Source organism: Homo sapiens, chromosome 17 (genome assembly GCF_000001405.40).
Source record: "Homo sapiens chromosome 17, GRCh38.p14 Primary Assembly".
Taxonomy (NCBI): Eukaryota; Metazoa; Chordata; class Mammalia; order Primates; family Hominidae; genus Homo; species Homo sapiens.
Genome location: NC_000017.11, coordinates 41,669,600 through 41,686,770, shown reverse-complemented (window position 1 = coordinate 41,686,770; position 17,171 = coordinate 41,669,600). Strand labels below are relative to the sequence as shown.

Here is a 17,171-nt window from a genome sequence, read left to right as displayed (position 1 = left end):
TGTATATATGTATATATATATGTATGTGTATATATATATATATATAGACAAGGTCTCACTCTGTCACCCAGACTGGCTGGAATGCAGTGGCATGATCATGGCTTACTGCAGCCTCAACTGCTTAAAGCAGTCCCCCTGCCTTGGCCTCCTAAAGTGCTGGGATTACAGGCAGGAGCCAGTGTGCCTGGCCTGATACTTTGTTTTGATTCTATATTTACTAAATAAACTTGATTAATAGTTTGGTTTCCTTGACATCAGGAAGGAGGAACCATGGCTAGGTCATGGGCATCCCAGTCTCATGGTCTTCCCCTTTTGAGAAGCTAAGGCCCCAGTCAGCCAACTTGGGAACCTTTACTATCAGGCAAAATTCACCCCCGACATTTCACGTAGGTTCTTCTCTATTTTCCTTAAGTGTTGGCTGGTCCGAGAAATAAAGGGACAGAGTACAAAAGAGAGAAATTTTAAAGCTGGGTGTCCGGGGGAGACATCACATGTCGGCAGGTTCCATGATGTCCCCCAAGCCGCAAAACCAGCGAGTTTTTATTAGTGATTTTCAAAAGGGGAGGGAGTGTACGAATAGGGTGTGGGTCACAGAGATCATGTGCTTCACAAGGTAATAAGATATCACAAGGCAAATGGAGGCAGGGCAAGACCACAGGACCACAGGACCGGGGCGAAATTAAAATTGCTAATGAAGTTTCAGACACACATTGTCATTGATGATATCTTATCAGGAGACAGGGTTTGAGAACAGACAACCGGTCTGACCAAAATTTATTAGGCGGGAATTTCCTCGTCCTAATAAGCCTGGGAGCGCTACAGGAGACCGGGGCTTATTTCATCCCTCAGCGATGACCGTAAAAGACAGCTGTCCCCAAAGTGGCCATTTCAGAGGCCTCCCTCAGGGACGCATCCTCTTTCTCAGGGATGTTCCTTGCTGAGAAAAAGAATTCAGCGATATTTCTCCCATTTGCTTTTGAAAGAAGAGAAATATGGCTCTGTTCTGCCCGGCTCACGGGCAGTCAGAGTTTAAAGTTATCTCCTTTGTTCCCTGAACATTGCTGTTATCCTGTTCTTTTTTCAAGGTGCCCAGATTTCATATTGTTCAAACACACAAGCTCTACAAACAATTTGTGCAGTTAATGCAATCATCACGGTCCTGAGGCTACATACATCCTCCTCAGCTTATGATGACAGGATTAAGAGATTAAAGTAAAGACAGGCATAGGAAATCCCAAGGGTATTGATTGGGGAAGTGATAAGTGTCCATGAAATCTTCACAATTTATGTTCAGAGATTGCAGTAAAGACAGGCGTAAGAAATTATAAAAGTATTAATTTGGGGAACTAATAAATATCCATTAAATCTTCACAATTTATGTTCTTCTGCCATGGCTTCAGCGGGTCCCTCTGTTGGGAGTCCCTGACATCCCACAACACTTTGCCCTGACGGACATTGTTCTGCTGGAAAGGGTTTTGGGAGAGAGTTTGAATGAATGAATTGGAGCTGTCCTTCCCAGTGTGCATGCAATATTTTGTCACACTAAAATATTTTTTGAGACAGAATCTCGCTTTGTCGTCCAGGCTGTAGTGAAGTGGTGCGATCTTGGCTCACCACAGCTTTCACCTCCTGAGTTCAAGCTATGCTTCTGCCTCAGCCTCCCAAGTAACTGAGATTACGGGCAGGTGCCACCATGCCCAGCTAATTTTTGTATTTTGGGTAGAGAAGGGGTTTTACAACATTGCCCAGGCTGGTCTTGAACTCCTGACCTCAAATGATCCGCCCGCCTTGGCCTCCCAAAGTGCTGGGATTACAGGTGTGAGCCACAACACCCGGCCAAGACTCAGTTCTTTTTTTTTTTTTTTTTTTGAGACAGGGTCTGGCTTTGTCACTTAGGCTGGAGTGCAATGGTGCCATTATAGCTTATTGCAGACTTGAACTCCTAGGCTCAAGTGATCCGTTTCAGCCTCCTGAGTAGCTGGGACTACAGGCATGTGCTACCATAGCCAGCTAATTTTTTAAATTTTTGGTAGAGATGAGGTCTCACTATGTTGCCCAGGCTGGTCTTGAACTGCTAGGCTCAAGTAATCCTTTACCTCGGCCTCCCAAAGTGCTGGGATTACAAGCATGAGCCACCGCACCAGGCCTGAGACTCAGTTCTTGACTTGCCACCAGCTTTGTGGGTGACCTGGTTTACCTCTTGGCTTCAGTTGTATGCCCCATAAAAGGAGCACTGGGTGATCTCTTCCTGGGTCTGAAGTCTGAAGCGCTGTTTTCCCAAGTTGGGAGCATTTCCAGAAGGGTCTTCCGAAGTCTACCTTCCAGTGTGGGAGGTTACCCCAGCCCCAGGAGCCTGAGGAGTAATCATGGAGGCAGGAGTAATTAGTTTGAAAGTGGCATGCATGCCTGCTGTTAATGCTGGCTTCTTTATTAGTGTGCTCCTGGCTTTGAGATGCTGTCACCTGGGCAGCCAAGGGCAGGGTACAAAGCACAGGCTCTGGAGTGTCTGTATCTGAATATCATCTCCATCTTGTTGCCTGGGCGACTTAGCCCCTCCCAGCCTGCATTTTCTCCTCTGTACGACAGAGACAATAATGCCCTTCTCATAGGCTGTTGAGGGGATTTAAAGAGGAGACTATGTACAGCCGGATAAAAATGTAAAGTTATGAAACCACTATATAGATTATACCAGTTTCCCAGAGGGGAAGGGAGAGAGAGAGCCTCCGAGAGCAGCAGGGGACAGGAGTGAGCCCCTCTGAATGAGGATGGGACAGAGGTGGGCACCTCTCCATGGTGATCTCCTTGGGATGTGACAAGGGCATGGCTGTGTAGGACACCTTGGGACCCTCGACCTCAATAAGATTCTCCAAGGCCACCAACGTGGCACGGAAGCAGCAGAATCTCCCTCCAGGAAGGGATTGCACCCTCTGGGAAAATAGACATCTCCATGGTAACCAAGGCAGATAGATGATCTGGTCTAGGGGCTCCTTGTAGCTCTGGTGCTCTAGAAAACCTTGTGAGCGAGAGAGAATCCTGGGGAGGGCTGGAGCCCCTGTCATTTCCAAGGCTGGATTTCTGAGCAGCCCAGTGGGATGTTAATTGGCAAGGATCTCACTTGATTTAAAGAAAGTCCAATTAATGCCACATTTCTTGCATTCCTTATTTGGGACTTAACGACCCACGTATGTAAGTGACTAGAATAGTTCCCCCTCCCCCGCTCCCATGCACATAGAAGGTCCCAGTGAATGAAGGCTGCTGTTCTTACCACTTGGAGAAGGAGGGAGACCCGGGCCTGTTGCAGCTTGATCTGCAGCCTGCACAGGGTAATGATGAGATGTGCAGGTCGGGCATCAGCTGGGGTTCTGCTGGCAATACATCAATTCTTCAAACCTGCCTAGGGTAGATGCTGGGAAGGGACATGGGGGAAACTTTTTTTTTTTTCTTTTTTGAGATGATATCTCACTCTGTCTCCCAGGCTGGAGTGTAGTGGTGCGATCTTGGCTCACTGGAACATCCGCCTTCCGGGTTCAAGTGATCCTCCCGCTTCAGCCTCCCAAGTAGCTGGCATTACAGGCACCCACCACCACGCCTTGCAAATTTTTGTATTTTTAGTAGAGATGGGGTTTCACCATGTTGGTCAGGCTGGTCTCGAACTCCTGACCTCAAGTGATCTGCCTGCCTTGGCCTCCCAAAGTGTTGGGATTACAGGCGTGAGCCACTGCGCCACGCCCGGCCTGACATGGGGGAACCTTATGGGGTGCTGGAAATGACCTTCCTCTTGATCCAGGTGGCAAAAATCTATTGAGCTGTACCCTTATGGCTAGTGTGTGTTGTGTGTGTATGGCGGTTATATTTTACCGCCACCTCCCAACCCGGCCAGCCTTTCTTCTTGTTCTTACTTTCCCTCCCCTTGCCAGGGACCCACTTATGCCAACCCACGGTGGGGACTTGGCTCAGTTCCTCTTTGCCTCTTTGCTGGCAGAGCATCTGTCTTCCCCATCCTGCTTCCCACTCCTTCCCCTCCTCTCTTTCCTCCTTTTTCAGGGAGTCCTGCAGGAGCTCCTATAGATGGGGGGAAACTTCATTTAGGAAGGGAGATAAAGACCAGAGCCCTTGGTTCCTCTTCCCCGGGCAGGGCCATCCAGGTGGCCCAACTGCGGACTCAACTGCCGAGGTGGGTGGGAGAGGATACAAAGTGCAGCCTAGGGAGGTGGAGAAGGCCAGGCCTGGCATTGGGCCTCAAGGAGATCACAGCCTAGCGAGGGTTCAGACAGCACTCCAAGGAACCAGGGGCCCAGGAAGCGTGGAGGAGGTGCCAGACACAGGTGCACAGAGGGGTTCTATATTCTGACCGGGCACTGAAGGAGGTGTTCTCTAGCTGAGGGCAGGTGGATGTTCCAGATGGAGGGAAGAGCATTAGACATGTTTGATGGCAATCAGTTCAGATCTGGCCACTTTCCTGGGACAAGCTTACAGGTGTGTTTGGGTGGAGCAGTCTGCCTTGGACCTAGGCATAGGTCCTCTAGCCCTCCTTTCATTTCATTTCATTTCATTTTTTAAACTAGTGTAACTCATATAAGGGCTGTCTCCAAGAGTTCATCCAGCAGTAATCGAGCAGCAAGACTCATCAAGTCCTTCACTTTCACTGTGAGAGGACAGGAGGAAACGCAGAGAGGGCTGGTGCCGTGTGGTGACAACCCTCACCAGTTGGGACACACTGCTCATCCCCTTTCAGCCACACCTCTGCACACCCCCCAACACTCAGCTGTCCCCAGTGTGCAGCTCTGGCCCCAAGCACATGTCACCTGGAGGTGCCTCTCTGGGCAGCCTCCCCTCTCTTCTGCACCCACCCATCTTCCCCAAATTAATTCTAACTCTCAAAGGGCCACAGCAGCCACAAGCCACCTGTGGCTTCTGAACCCTGGAAATGGGGCCAGTCTGAATGAGGATGCACTGTAAGTGTAAAAACACACAGGGCTCTGAAGAATGAGCATGAAAAAAAACTGTAAAGTCTCACAATGCTTTATATTATGTTATATTAATTGATTAATTTATTTTGAGTCAGAGTTTTGTTCTTGTTGCCCAGGCTGGAGTGCAATGGTGCGATCTCGGCTCACTGTGGCCTCCGCCTCCCGGGTTCAAGTGATTCTCCTGCCTCAGCCTCCCAAGTAGCTAGGATTACAGGTGTGTACCACCACGCTCGCCTAATTTTTGTATTTTTAGTAGAGACGGCGTTTCACCATGTTGGCCTGGCTGGTATCGAACTTCTGACCTCGTGATCTGCCCGCCTTGGCCTCCCAAAGTGCTGGGATTACAGGTGTGAGCCACCGCACCCGGGTTGTTGTTTGTTTTTGAGATGGAGTCTTGCTCTGCCGCCCAGGCTGGAGTACAATGGCGCAATCTCAGCTCACTGCAACCCTGCCTCCTGGGTTCAAGCGATTCTGCTGCCTCAGCCTCCTGAGTAGCTGAGATCACAGGCGCACATTACCGAATTAGCCCGGCTAATTTTTGTATGTTTTTGTAGAAATGGGGTTTCAGCATGTTGGCCAGGCTGGTCTCAAACTCCTCTGCTCAAGCCATTCGCGTGCCTCAGCCTCCCAAATTGTTGGGATTATAGGTGTGAGCCACTGTGCCCAGCCTTCACAATACTTTTTATATGAATTACTTATTAAAATAAGAATATTTTGGATCTATTATATTAAATAAAATATACTATTAAGTTAAATTCACCTGTTTCTTTTTACTTTAAAGAAACGTGGCTCCTGGGAGCCCCCAGGAGCTATTTAGTTGCATGTGTGGTGTGCGTTCTATTCCTACTGGACAGTGCTGCTCAGCAGGATGCTAGGCTGAAGCGAGCCTGCTGGCACACACATGGCAGGCCCTAGTCACAGGAACGGCTGTTCTTTCCAGCCTTCTCTGCCACCACCTGCCTCATTTCTTTGTCTCCTGCCCCCGCCTCCAGCATCTCTAGTTCCCAGTGATTTAGCTCTGCTGTGAGCTTGCATATTTCTCTCCCTGCTCCCAGTTTAGAAGACAGCTTGGTGATGGTCATATGTACCAAAGCCGGGCCAAGGATGTCGAGGGAACTTTTTCCTGCTCAAGTGGCTTATTGAGTATTCACTCACCCAAACTGTGTCCCTTCCTGGGCCAACAAGGTGAAATTCTCTCCTCTTTTCACTTGCCTAGCCCAAGACAGATACTGCCACCTGAGCATGCACCGGGGCAGTGGGGGGCATCGATTTCATCCTTTGCCCCAAACAGCTTAGCAGCTGTCCCTCTACCATAGATAAAACTCTTCCTGAGAGGAGTTTTGTACGGTCTTTTTTTTTTTTTTATTTTGTGAAATTTACAGTGGTTGAGCTCTTGCTACGAGCTTAGCTGAGTGTTTCACACCCTGTCCCATGGAATCCTGACAAAGCTCATTAGTCCTTCTGCAGACAGAGACCTGGCAGGATAGCGGTGGTGGCCCTCTTCCTGCTGGGCTGCCTGGCCACCCAAGAGGGACCAGGTTTCCTGAGCGAGGAACCTCTGGGATGATTGTGCTCTTATAAAGGGGTTATCTGTTTTCTTGATGGAGGCCAGCATTTGGGGCATGCACCCCAATTCTCTCCGGAGCTCAGATGTGCCGTGCATATTTGGAGAGGGTCTGGGAGGCCAGTGCTACTGTGGACAATCTCATTACAGCACACAACATAAGATTCAAACAAATTCCCTCCCTCCCTCCCTCCCTCCCCTCCCTCCCTCCCTCCCTTCCTTCCTTCCTTCCTCCTGCTTTTCTCTCCCTCTCTTTTCTTTTCTCTTTTCTTCTTTCTTTCTTTCTTTTCCCTCCTTCCTTCCTTCCTTTCTTCCTTCCTTCCTTCCCTCCTTCCCTCCTCCCTCCCTCCCTCCTTTCTTTCTCTCTCTTTCTTTCTTTCTTTCTCTCTTTCTGTCTCTCTCTCCTTCCTTTCCCTTCCTTCCTTCCCTCTTTCTTTCTTTTCTTTTTTTTTTTTTTGAGATGGAGTCTCATTCTGTAGCCCAGGCTGGAGTGCAGTGGCACAATCTTGGCTCACTGCAACTTCTGCCTCCTGAGTTCAAGCAATTCTCCCACCTCAGCCTCCTGAGTAGCTGGGATTACAGGCACCCACAATGATGCCTGGCTAAGTTTTGTATTTTTAGTAGAGATGGGGTTTTGCTATGTTGCCCAAGCTGGTCTTGAACTCCTGACCTCAGGTGATCTGCCCACCTTGGCCTCCTAAAGTGCTGGGATTACAGGTGTGAGCCACTGTGCCTGGCGAGAATTGTTATTTTCTTTTACAGATGAGGATGTTACCCAGTGTAATGCCTGTGTGACATAGGTGAATTTCTACCCTGCCTTAATTCTGCTTATCTTTAGGAAACAGGATGCTTGAGGTCAAAAGCTCCCCCTTCTGACCAAACTGGCTAAGACTTGTGGGATCCAAGGCAGCTCACTTGACCTCTGAAGAACCTCTAACTTCATTATAACTAATTTCTGTGCTAAGTGACACTCCCACCAGCACCATGACAGTTAACAATCACTGTGACTAAGACCGGAAGAAACCACAAAAACACAAAAAGGAAGACGGCACTCCAGTTTCAAGGAGTTCTCCACCCATTCCCAGAAAAGAAATGAATATTCCTCCCCTTACTTTTAATATCCAACCCTTTCATTAAAGGTGCCCTATATCTGTGACTTCCTGGCTCTCAGGAGCCGAGCCCAAGCTCCCACTTCTCAATTCCATGACCGTCTAATCTAAAGCCTGCACTGCTTGACATTCACTTTCAGTTTTGCATATTGATTTGTAACACCAAACGGGGAAAGGCTCCATTTTCTGGGGACCAGCTTTGTTGGTAACAAAGATACTGAATCATAGAGAGGAATCATTTTTGCAAGATCACAGCTGGTAAGTTGCATGGCTGGAATTCAGATCCAGAGCCTGTGCCCCTAACCTGGAAGGGGTGCCTGCCCTGGAAGATTGTCTGGGTCTGGTCCAGGGCCCCATACAGGCATCCTTGTAGTCACTGCTGGTTTCCCTTCCCAGAGCTTGGGGGAGGTGCTGAATGTCCTGCCCAGGTCAGTGTGGCATTAAAGAAAAGATTACTCATGACACTTGTTAAAGATGAAGGAAGACTTTATTCAAGGGGGAGCTATTACATTGGGGTTTTGTAGCAGAGGAGAGAGACTGGGTTTCACTCTCTCTACAATAGGGAAAATTGGGGATTTATAGCCAAGGAACAGGGTAGGGAGATTGGTGGAAAATTACTAAGAAGTTTTTATGCTCTTTTACCCCCGTAGTTCAATGAGTTCCGAATTGTTGTCCCATGACTGAGAAAAATGAGGTACATGGACAGCAGAGAGTGAGTAAGGCAGAATAGAATTTATTGAGGGACAGAAAAGCTCTCGACAGTGAGAGGGGACCCAAAAATGGGTTGCTGACCACGAGGCTGATACATTATAATTAGCATATAATAAGCAGTAAGGACACCAGAGGTTGGGTTGCTTTCTTTTTGTTTTTTTTTTTTTTTTTTTTTTTTGAGACAGAGTCTTGCTCTGTCGCCCAGGCTGGAGTGCAGTGGCACGATCTCAGCTCACTGCAACCTCTGCCTCCCAGGTTCAAGCGATTCTCCTGCCTCAGCCTCCCAAGTAGCTGGGACTACAGGCACGTGCCACCAGGCCCAGCTAATTTTTTGTATTTTTAGTAGAGATGGGGTTTCACCGTGTTAGTGAGGATGGTGTTGATCTCCTGACCTCGTGATATGCCTGCCTCAGCCTCCCGAAATGTTGGGATTACAGGCGTGAGCCACCGCGCCCAGTCCAGAGGTCGCTTTCATTACCATCTTGGTTTTGGCTGGCTTCTTTACCACATCTCGTTTTATCAGAGGGGTCTTCGTGACCTGTACCTTGCAAAACCAGTCCTGTGGAACTCCTATTGCAAGACTATACAGGTTAATGGCTTAACTCTACAATACTACCCCACTTCATTTTAAAATTTTATCTATCTGTCTGTCTATCTATCTATCTATCTATCTATCTATCTATCTATCTATCTACTTTTAGAGACAGGGTCTTGCTCTGTTGCCCAGGCTGGAGTGCAGTGGTGTGATCATAGCTCACTGCAGCCTCCAATTCCTTAAGACTGTCCCACTGCAATGCCAGCCACAAGTCTGCGCTTCACGTGCTTCTGGCCAATGGTTATAAATCAGGAGTTCCCACAACCCCTCCTTGGATTTGATAGTTTGCTAGAATGGCTCACAGAACTCAGGAAAACAGTTGAGTTACCAGGCTGACAGCTTATTATAAAAGAATACAACTAAAAAACAGCAGATGGCTGGGTGCAGTGGCTCATTGCTACAATACCAGCACTTTGAGAGGCCGAGGCGGGCAGACCACTTGAGGTCAGGAGTTCAAGACCAACCTGGCCAAAACAGTGAAACCCTGTTTCTACTAAAACTACAACAATGAGCCAGGTGTGGTGGTGGGCACTTGTAATCCCAGCAATTTGTAATCCCAGCAACGGGCTGAGGCAGGAGAATTGCTTGAACCTGGGAGGCAGAGGTTACACTGAGCTGAGATCGCACCACTGCATTCCAGCCTGGGAGACAGAGTGAGACGCTGTCTCAAAAAACAAAACAAAACAAAACTCAAAACAGGCAGGGCGCGGTGGCTCACGCCTGTAATCCCAGCACTTTGGGAGCTTAGGCGGGTGGATCACAAGGTCAGGAGATCAAGGCCATCCTGGCCAACATGATGAAACCCTGTCTCTACTAAAAATACAAAAATTAGCCGGGTGTGGTGGCGGGTGCCTGTAGTCCCAGCTAGTTGGGAGGCTGAGGCAGGAGAATCGCTTGAACCCGGGAGGCAGAGGTTGCAGTGAGCCAAGATTGCTCCACTGCATTCCAGCCTGGCAACAGAGCCAGACTCCTTCTTAACAACAACAACAAAACAAACAACAACAACAACAACAACAACAAAACAAACCTGGCAGGATGGAGGAGACGCACAGGGTGAGGTGTGGAGAAGTGTGGGGAGCTTTGACGTGCTTTCGGGTGCACCATCCTCCCAACACCTTGATGGGTCCTTTGGGTTTTTATGGTGCTTCCATTATGTAGGCATGGTTGATTACATCATTGGCCCTTGGTGATTAAACTCAATCTCAAGCCTCTCTTCCCTCCCCAGAGGCCAGGAGGTGGGGCTGAAAGTTCTACTTCTCTAATCACATGCTTGGTTCCCCTGGCATCCAGCCCCCCTCCTTAGGGGCTTTCCAAAAGTCACTCATTAACTTAAACTCCTGTGTGGTTGAAACAGGCTTGTTTTGATAACAAAAGATGTTCCTTTAACTTTTGTTGCTCCAGGGATATTTCAAGAGCTGGGGACAAAAGACAAATATTAATTTATTATATTACATTAGGGCTCTGTGCCAGGAACTGGGGACCAATATCAAACAACTTTTCATATCATATCTCAATATCGCAATGCCTGTTGCATAAAAAATTAAAAAGTCGCAAAGCAACCAAAAAATCACCTGTTAAATCAGTCACCACCCAGAGATGACCAGGACCCATTCTGGCCTCTTTCCATCTGGTTTTGTGTAGATTTATGAAGACACCAAATTCTTTGAGGCTCCCTTTGCTCTGTGCTGTGTCAGTCTGTGTGCAGTCCTCGGCAGCTCTTCACAGTCTCCCCAAAGAATTCATTTTCACTTAAAACACAAGTTATAACCGTAGTAGGTTTATTGCTCGATGTGCATATGGAAAGCCAGTAACTGAGATACTGGGTTGTAGCAGAGAAAGAGGCTTAATTGTAGGGCTGCTGAATGAGGAGACCAGAGGAAACCTCAAATCCATCTCCCTGAGGAGTTTGGGGCTAGGAATTTTAAGGGTTTTGGAGGGAACTGATCATTGATTGGTGCAAGGTGAATTCACCTACAGGGAAATGAAGAAACTGCATTCTTATGCTAATTTGATTACTCCGTGGGAACCTTCAAACTGGTTGGCATCAGCTGTTCCATTGGAATTCAGGATTGGAGAAACATCTTCAGCAATTTTTTTTTTTTTTTTTTTTTTTTGAGACAGATTCTCACTCTGTCACCCAGGCTGGAGTGCAATGATGCAATCTGGGCTCACTACAACCTCCGCCTCCCGGGTTCCAGCAATTCTCCTGCCTCAGCCTCTCTAGTAGCTGGGATTACAGGCATGCACCACCATGCCCAACTAATTTTTGTATTTTTGTAGAGATGGGGTTTCTCTGTGTTGGCCAGGCTGGTCTCAAACTCCTGACCTCAGGTGATCCACCCACCTCGGCCTCCCAAAGTGCTGGGATTATAGACATGAGCCAACACACCTGGCCATCTTCAGCAATTCTTAAACAGAAGTCTCATGATTCTAATGTCAGAGATCCTATCTGTAGGAACATGGAAATGCAGATGTTCAGTACTGAGTGTTAGGTGATTTTAGGTTACAAGGAACTGGGCCAAAGAGCAGCCCGATTAATGCTTAATTATACCTGTATTCCTATCCAGAGTTTTTGTCAAACTTGTGAGGACAGCTTCAGTGTGAGTGATGTAAACTTTACTCAGTGACCCCTGAAAGAGGTGGGGGAGGGCATTTACACACACACACACACACACAAATGCACACACACCCCATATCTCAAAAGTCTTAACTTGCTTAGATCCCTCTTGACCTCTCTATGGGGGTTGCTTTCTCCCATCTAGAACCTGTTTTGTTGGCTCCTTCATCTCCTCCTTTGATCCCCTCCCAGTTGCAGACCTTCAACTTTTCTGTCTCTGGTTTTGCAGGTCAGTTTATCCCTGCTCCCTGCTTGCCCCCAAATGTGTACAGCCAAGACCTATTTCAGTACTGGGGAAAAAAAAAGAGGGTTGCAGGTTTATAGAACCTCTAGAGAGCAGGAGGGGTTAGAAACATCCAAAATTTTCCTTCTTTCTTTTTTTTTTTTTTTGAGATGGAGTCTTGTTCTGTAACCCAGGCTGGAGTGCAGTGGTGTGATCTCGGTTCACTGCAACCTCTGCCTCCCGGGTTCAAGTGATTCTCCTGCCTCAGCCTCCTGAGTAGTTAGGTTTACAGGCGTGCGCCACCACACCTGGCTAAATTTTGTTATTTTTTGTAAAGACAGGGTTTTGTCATGTTGGCCAGGCTGGTCTTGAACTCCTGGCCTCAAGTGATCTGCCCACATTGGCCTCCCAAAGTGCAGGGATTACAGGTGTGAGCCACTGCATCTGGCTGAAATTTTTATTTTTATTTTTAAATTATACCTTTAAATTGTAGGAGATCAGAATATGCCACCCCAAAATATGACCATAGACCGGAATATGCTGCCCCAAATATACTTCTTCAGCATAAGGATTATTTTGAACTGATTTTTTTTAACAAAAAAATTTACAGTTAAGGGAACAAACAAGTTAATCGTGTTTAATGAACAGACCCAGGAAATGTCCTGATGTACCAATACCTTAAGAAACAAGGCCGGGCACGGTGGCTCACGCCTGTAATCCCAGCACTTTGGGAGGCTGAGGCGGGCAGATCACCTAAGGTCAGGAGTTTGAGACCATCCTGGCCAACTTGGTGAAACCCCGTCTCTACTAAAAATACAAAAAATTAGCCGGGCGTGATGGCACACACCTGTAATCTCAGCTACTCAGGAGGCTGAGGCAGGAGAATTGCTTGAAATCGGGAGATGGAGGTTGCAGTGAGCTGAGATCATACCACTGTACTCCAGCCTGAGTGACAGAGCCAGACCCGGTCTCAAACAAAAACAAAAACAAAAACAAAAACAAAAACAAAAACAACAAAAAGCATTCTTAGAGCATTCTTAGTGTGAGTTTTGCTTTAAAGATAAAGATAATATATTAGAGGCCGGGCGCGGTGGCTCACGCCTGTAATCCCAGCACTTTGGGAGGCCGAGGTGGGTAGATGACGAGGTCAGGAGGTTGAGACCATCCTGGCTAACACGGTGAAACCCCGTCTCTACTAAAAATGCAAAAAAATTAGCCGGACGTGGCAGCGGGTGCCTGTAGTCCCAGCTACTCGGGAGGCTGAGGCAGGAGAATTGCTTGAACCCGGGAGGCGGAGGTTTCAGTGAGATGAGATTGAGCAATTGCACTCCAGCCTGGGCGACAGAGCGAGATTCCGTCTGAAAAAAAAAAAAAAAGATAATATATCAGATAATAATAGATTCTTGCAGAAGACAGTAGTTACACAAGGACCCAGCTGATAAAACAGGATGCACTAAAGAAGCCAGACAAAACCCACCCAAACTAACATGGCAATGAATGTGACCCCTGGTCATCCTCACTGCTCATTATATGCTAATTATAATACATTAGCATATGCTAAAAGACACTCCCAAATGCCATGGCAATGCCCGGAGGTTGCCCAATATGGTATAAAAGGAAGAAGAACCTTCAGTTCCAGGAAACCCCTGCCCCTTTCCCAGAAAACTGATAAACAGTCTACCCTATATTTGTCATGAGATCAACAAATATTCATAAAAATAACCAACCAGCAGACCTTGGGGCTGCTCTGCCTATGGAGTAGCCATTTTTAAATTTCTTTGCTTTCTTAATAAACTTGCTTTCACTTTACTGTGTAGACTTGCCCTGAATTCTTTGTTGCAGTAGCTCCAAGAACCCTCTCTTGGGGTCTGGATCAGGACTCAGGACCCCTTTCTGGTAACAGAAGTATTCCAGGTGTTAAAAGATAAACTTGCGCTGGGTGCAGCGGCTCACGCCTGTAATCCCAGCACTTTGGGAGGCCGAGACGGGCAGATCACGAGGTCAGGAGATCGAAACCATCCTGGCTAACATGGTGAAACCCCGTCTCTACTAAAAATACAAAAAAATAGCTGGGCGTGGTGGCGGGTGCCTGTAGTACCAGCTACTTGGGAGGCTGAGGCAGGAGAATGGTGTGAACCCGGGAGGCGGAGCTTGCGGTGAGCTGAGATCAGGCCACTGCACTCCAGCCTGAGTGACAGAGCGAGACTCCGTCTCAAAAAAAAAAAAAAAAAAGATAAACTGGCATATTAGAATTTTAAAGAGCTGGCCAGGTGAGGTGGCTCATGCCTGCAATCCCAGCACTTTTGGAGGCTGAGGTGGGAGGATCACTTGAACCCAGGAGTTCAAGACCAGCCTGGACAACATAGTGAGACCTTGTCTCTTCAAAAACAAAACAAAACAAAAAAAGTGCTAATTTGAGCAGACAGTGATTCATGAATCAGGCAGACTGGGGGATGAATCCCAGACTGGGGGATTCTGGTGTTTCAGAGCATAAAGGAAAAATTGTATAGGGTAAACTTTGAAGCAGAGCAAAGAAACTATTTGATTGGTTCAAATGCAGATTATTCGCATGGAAAGTCCCTTGCTAGTAGTAACTTGTGGTGGTTTCTGATTAGTTAAACCCATCTATACTGAGATGGGTTTTGATTTACTTACATAGAAACCCAGGGCACAAGGCCGGGCACCGTGGCTCATGCCTGTAATCCCAGCAGTCTGGGAGGCCGAGGTGGGTGGATCACTTGAGGTCAGGAGTTTGAGACCAGCCTGGCGAACATGGCAAAACTCCGCCTCTACTAAAAACACTAAAAATTAGCCAGACGTAGTGGCAGGCGCCTGTAATCCCAGCTACTCGGGAGGCTGAGGCAAGAGAATTGCTTGAACCCAGGAGGTGGAGGTTGCAGTGAGCTGAGATTGCACCACTGCACGCCAGGCTGGGTGACAAGAGTGAAACTCTGTCTCAAAAAAAAAAAAAAAAAAAAGAAACCCAGGGCACTAGAGTGGCTTCAGTCTAATGGCCTCCCAATTATTTTAACAATGTGATAAATGAAGAAGATGAGCCACCGTGCCCGGCCCTAAATCTCATCTTGAATTCCCACATGTTATAGTGGGGACCCAGTGGGAGGTAATTGAATGATGGGGGCGAATCTTTCCCATGCTGTTCTCTTGATAGTGAATAAGTCTCACAAGATCTGATGTTTATTATTATTATTATTATTATACTTTAAGTTTTAGGGTACATGTGCACAATGTGCAGGTTTGTTATATATGTATACATGTGCCATGTTGGTGTGCTGCACCCATTAACTTGTCATTTAGCATTAGGTATATCTCCTAATGCTATCCCTCCCCCCTCCCCCCACCCCACAACAGTCCCCAGTGTGTGATGTTCCCCTTCCTGTGTCCATGTGTTTTCTTTGATCAATTCCCACCTATGAGTGAGAACATGCGGTGTTTGGTTTTTTGTCCTTGTGATAGTTTGCTGAGAATGATGGTTTCCAGCTTCATCCATGTCCCTGCAAAGGACATGAACTCATCATTTTTTATGGCTGCCTGATGTTTTTTTAAAGAGGAGTTTCCCCGGACAAGTTCTCTCTCTTTACCTGCCACCATCCATATAAGACATGACTTGCTTCTCATTCTGCCATGATTGTGAGGCCTCCCCAGCCATGTGGAACTGTAAGTTCATTAAACCTCTTTCTTGGCCGGGCGCGGTGGCTCAAACTTGTAATCCCCACACTTTGGGAGGTCGAGGCAGGTAGATTACGAGGTCAAGAGATCGAGACCATCCTGGCCAACATGGTGAAACCCTGTCTCTACTAAAAATACAAAAATTAGCTGGGCGTGGTGGTGCTCACCTGTAATCCCAGCTACTCGGGAGGCTGAGGCAGGAGAATTGCTTGAACCCGGGAGGCGGAGGTTGCAGTGAGATGAGATCACGCCAATGCACTCCAGCCTGGGGACAGAGCAAGACTCTGTCTCCAAAAAAAAAAAAAAAAAAAAACCCATAAAAACAAGAAAAAAAAAACCCTTTTTCTTGTGTAAATTGCTCAGTCTAGGGTATGTCCTTATCAGCAGCATGAGAATGAACTAATACACTGGATATGGTGGCACATGCCTGTGGTCCCAGATACTTGGGAGGCTGAGGTGGGAGGATCCCCTGAGCCTGGGAGGTCGAGGCTGCAGTGAGCTGTGATTGTGCTCTCTCACTGCACTCCAGCCTGGTGACAGAGGGAGACTCTGTCTCAAAAAAAAAAAAAAAAGATTCCTAAAGTTGCACGTTAGTTCAATTCAGCTCTCATGGGTTTATATTTCCAGATCTCTCCCCAGAGGGGGTGTTAGAATCACAGCAGCTCAGTGAACCAGAAACATCTCTGTTCAGGCTACTCGGGAGGCTGAGGCATGAGAATTGCTTGAACCCAGGAGGCAGAGGTTGCAGTGAGCTGAGATCATGCCACTGCACTCTAGCCTGGGTGACAGAATGAGACTGTCTCAAAAAAACACACAGAAACATCTCCGGGGCAAGGATCCTTGGGCCAGGGCTTTGCTCTTGGGAGCTTCCCGCCTGGCTAAGTGCCTTCACCCATCTGATTCTCAGTTCCTTCCTGTGCAAAAGTGGGCATGAAAACACACAGGGTTGGAAAACAGTATTTATTCATTTAGTTCTTTTTTGAGACAGGGTCTCACTCTGTTGCCCAGGCTGGAGTGCAGTGGCGCCATCTTGGCTCACTGCAACCTCCACCTTCTGGGTTCAAGTGATTATCTTGCCTCAGCCTCCCAAGTAGCTGGGACTACAGGTGCGTGCCACCATGCCTGGCTAATTTGTGTATTTTTAATAGAGACGGGGTTTCGCCATGTTGGCCAGGCTAGACTTGAACTCCTGACCTCAGGTGATCCACTCACCTTGGCCTCCTAAAATTCTGGGATTACATGCATAAGCCACCGTGCCTGGCCCCCACTGATGTTTAATAAACATCTCAAACTCAATATGACTCAGACTGAACCTCTAATCTCCTGCCACTGAACAGCTCCTGCCCACAACCTTCCCATTGTTCATGGCAGCTCTATCCTCTCAGTAATAGCATTCTTGACTCCTCCGCCCACTACAGTTTGTTGGGACGTCTGGGGGCTTTCCCTGCGTGTTAGCTCCAGTGTCTCGTTGCTTCTTGCCACCTGTACATCATTTTCAAGCCTACAGTTCAGTGTAGGGTTCCTTTGCTCCACTCTGATCTGAGCCACCATCCTCTCTCGCCTGGACTATTGGAGTAGTTTCCTCATCTCCCAGTGGGTCTCACTCCTGTCCCTGCTCCCTGGCACCTTCATTCGACACAGCAGCCACAGTCTCCACCACATTCTAGGAGGCCCCCTGTGATCCAGTGCCTGTGA

At 47.6% G+C, this 17,171-nt stretch overlaps 2 annotated features.

Moving 5' to 3' along the window:
* Nucleotides 4,673-4,752: a silencer, noted in NCBI's record as "silent region_8497". NCBI's record gives its function as "represses an Ori minimal core promoter by ATAC-STARR-seq in GM12878 lymphoblastoid cells {active_cell/tissue: GM12878}" and the evidence as "EXISTENCE:reporter gene assay evidence [ECO:0000049][PMID:35858748]".
* Nucleotides 7,818-8,047: an enhancer, noted in NCBI's record as "active region_12170". NCBI's record gives its function as "activates an Ori minimal core promoter by ATAC-STARR-seq in GM12878 lymphoblastoid cells {active_cell/tissue: GM12878}" and the evidence as "EXISTENCE:reporter gene assay evidence [ECO:0000049][PMID:35858748]".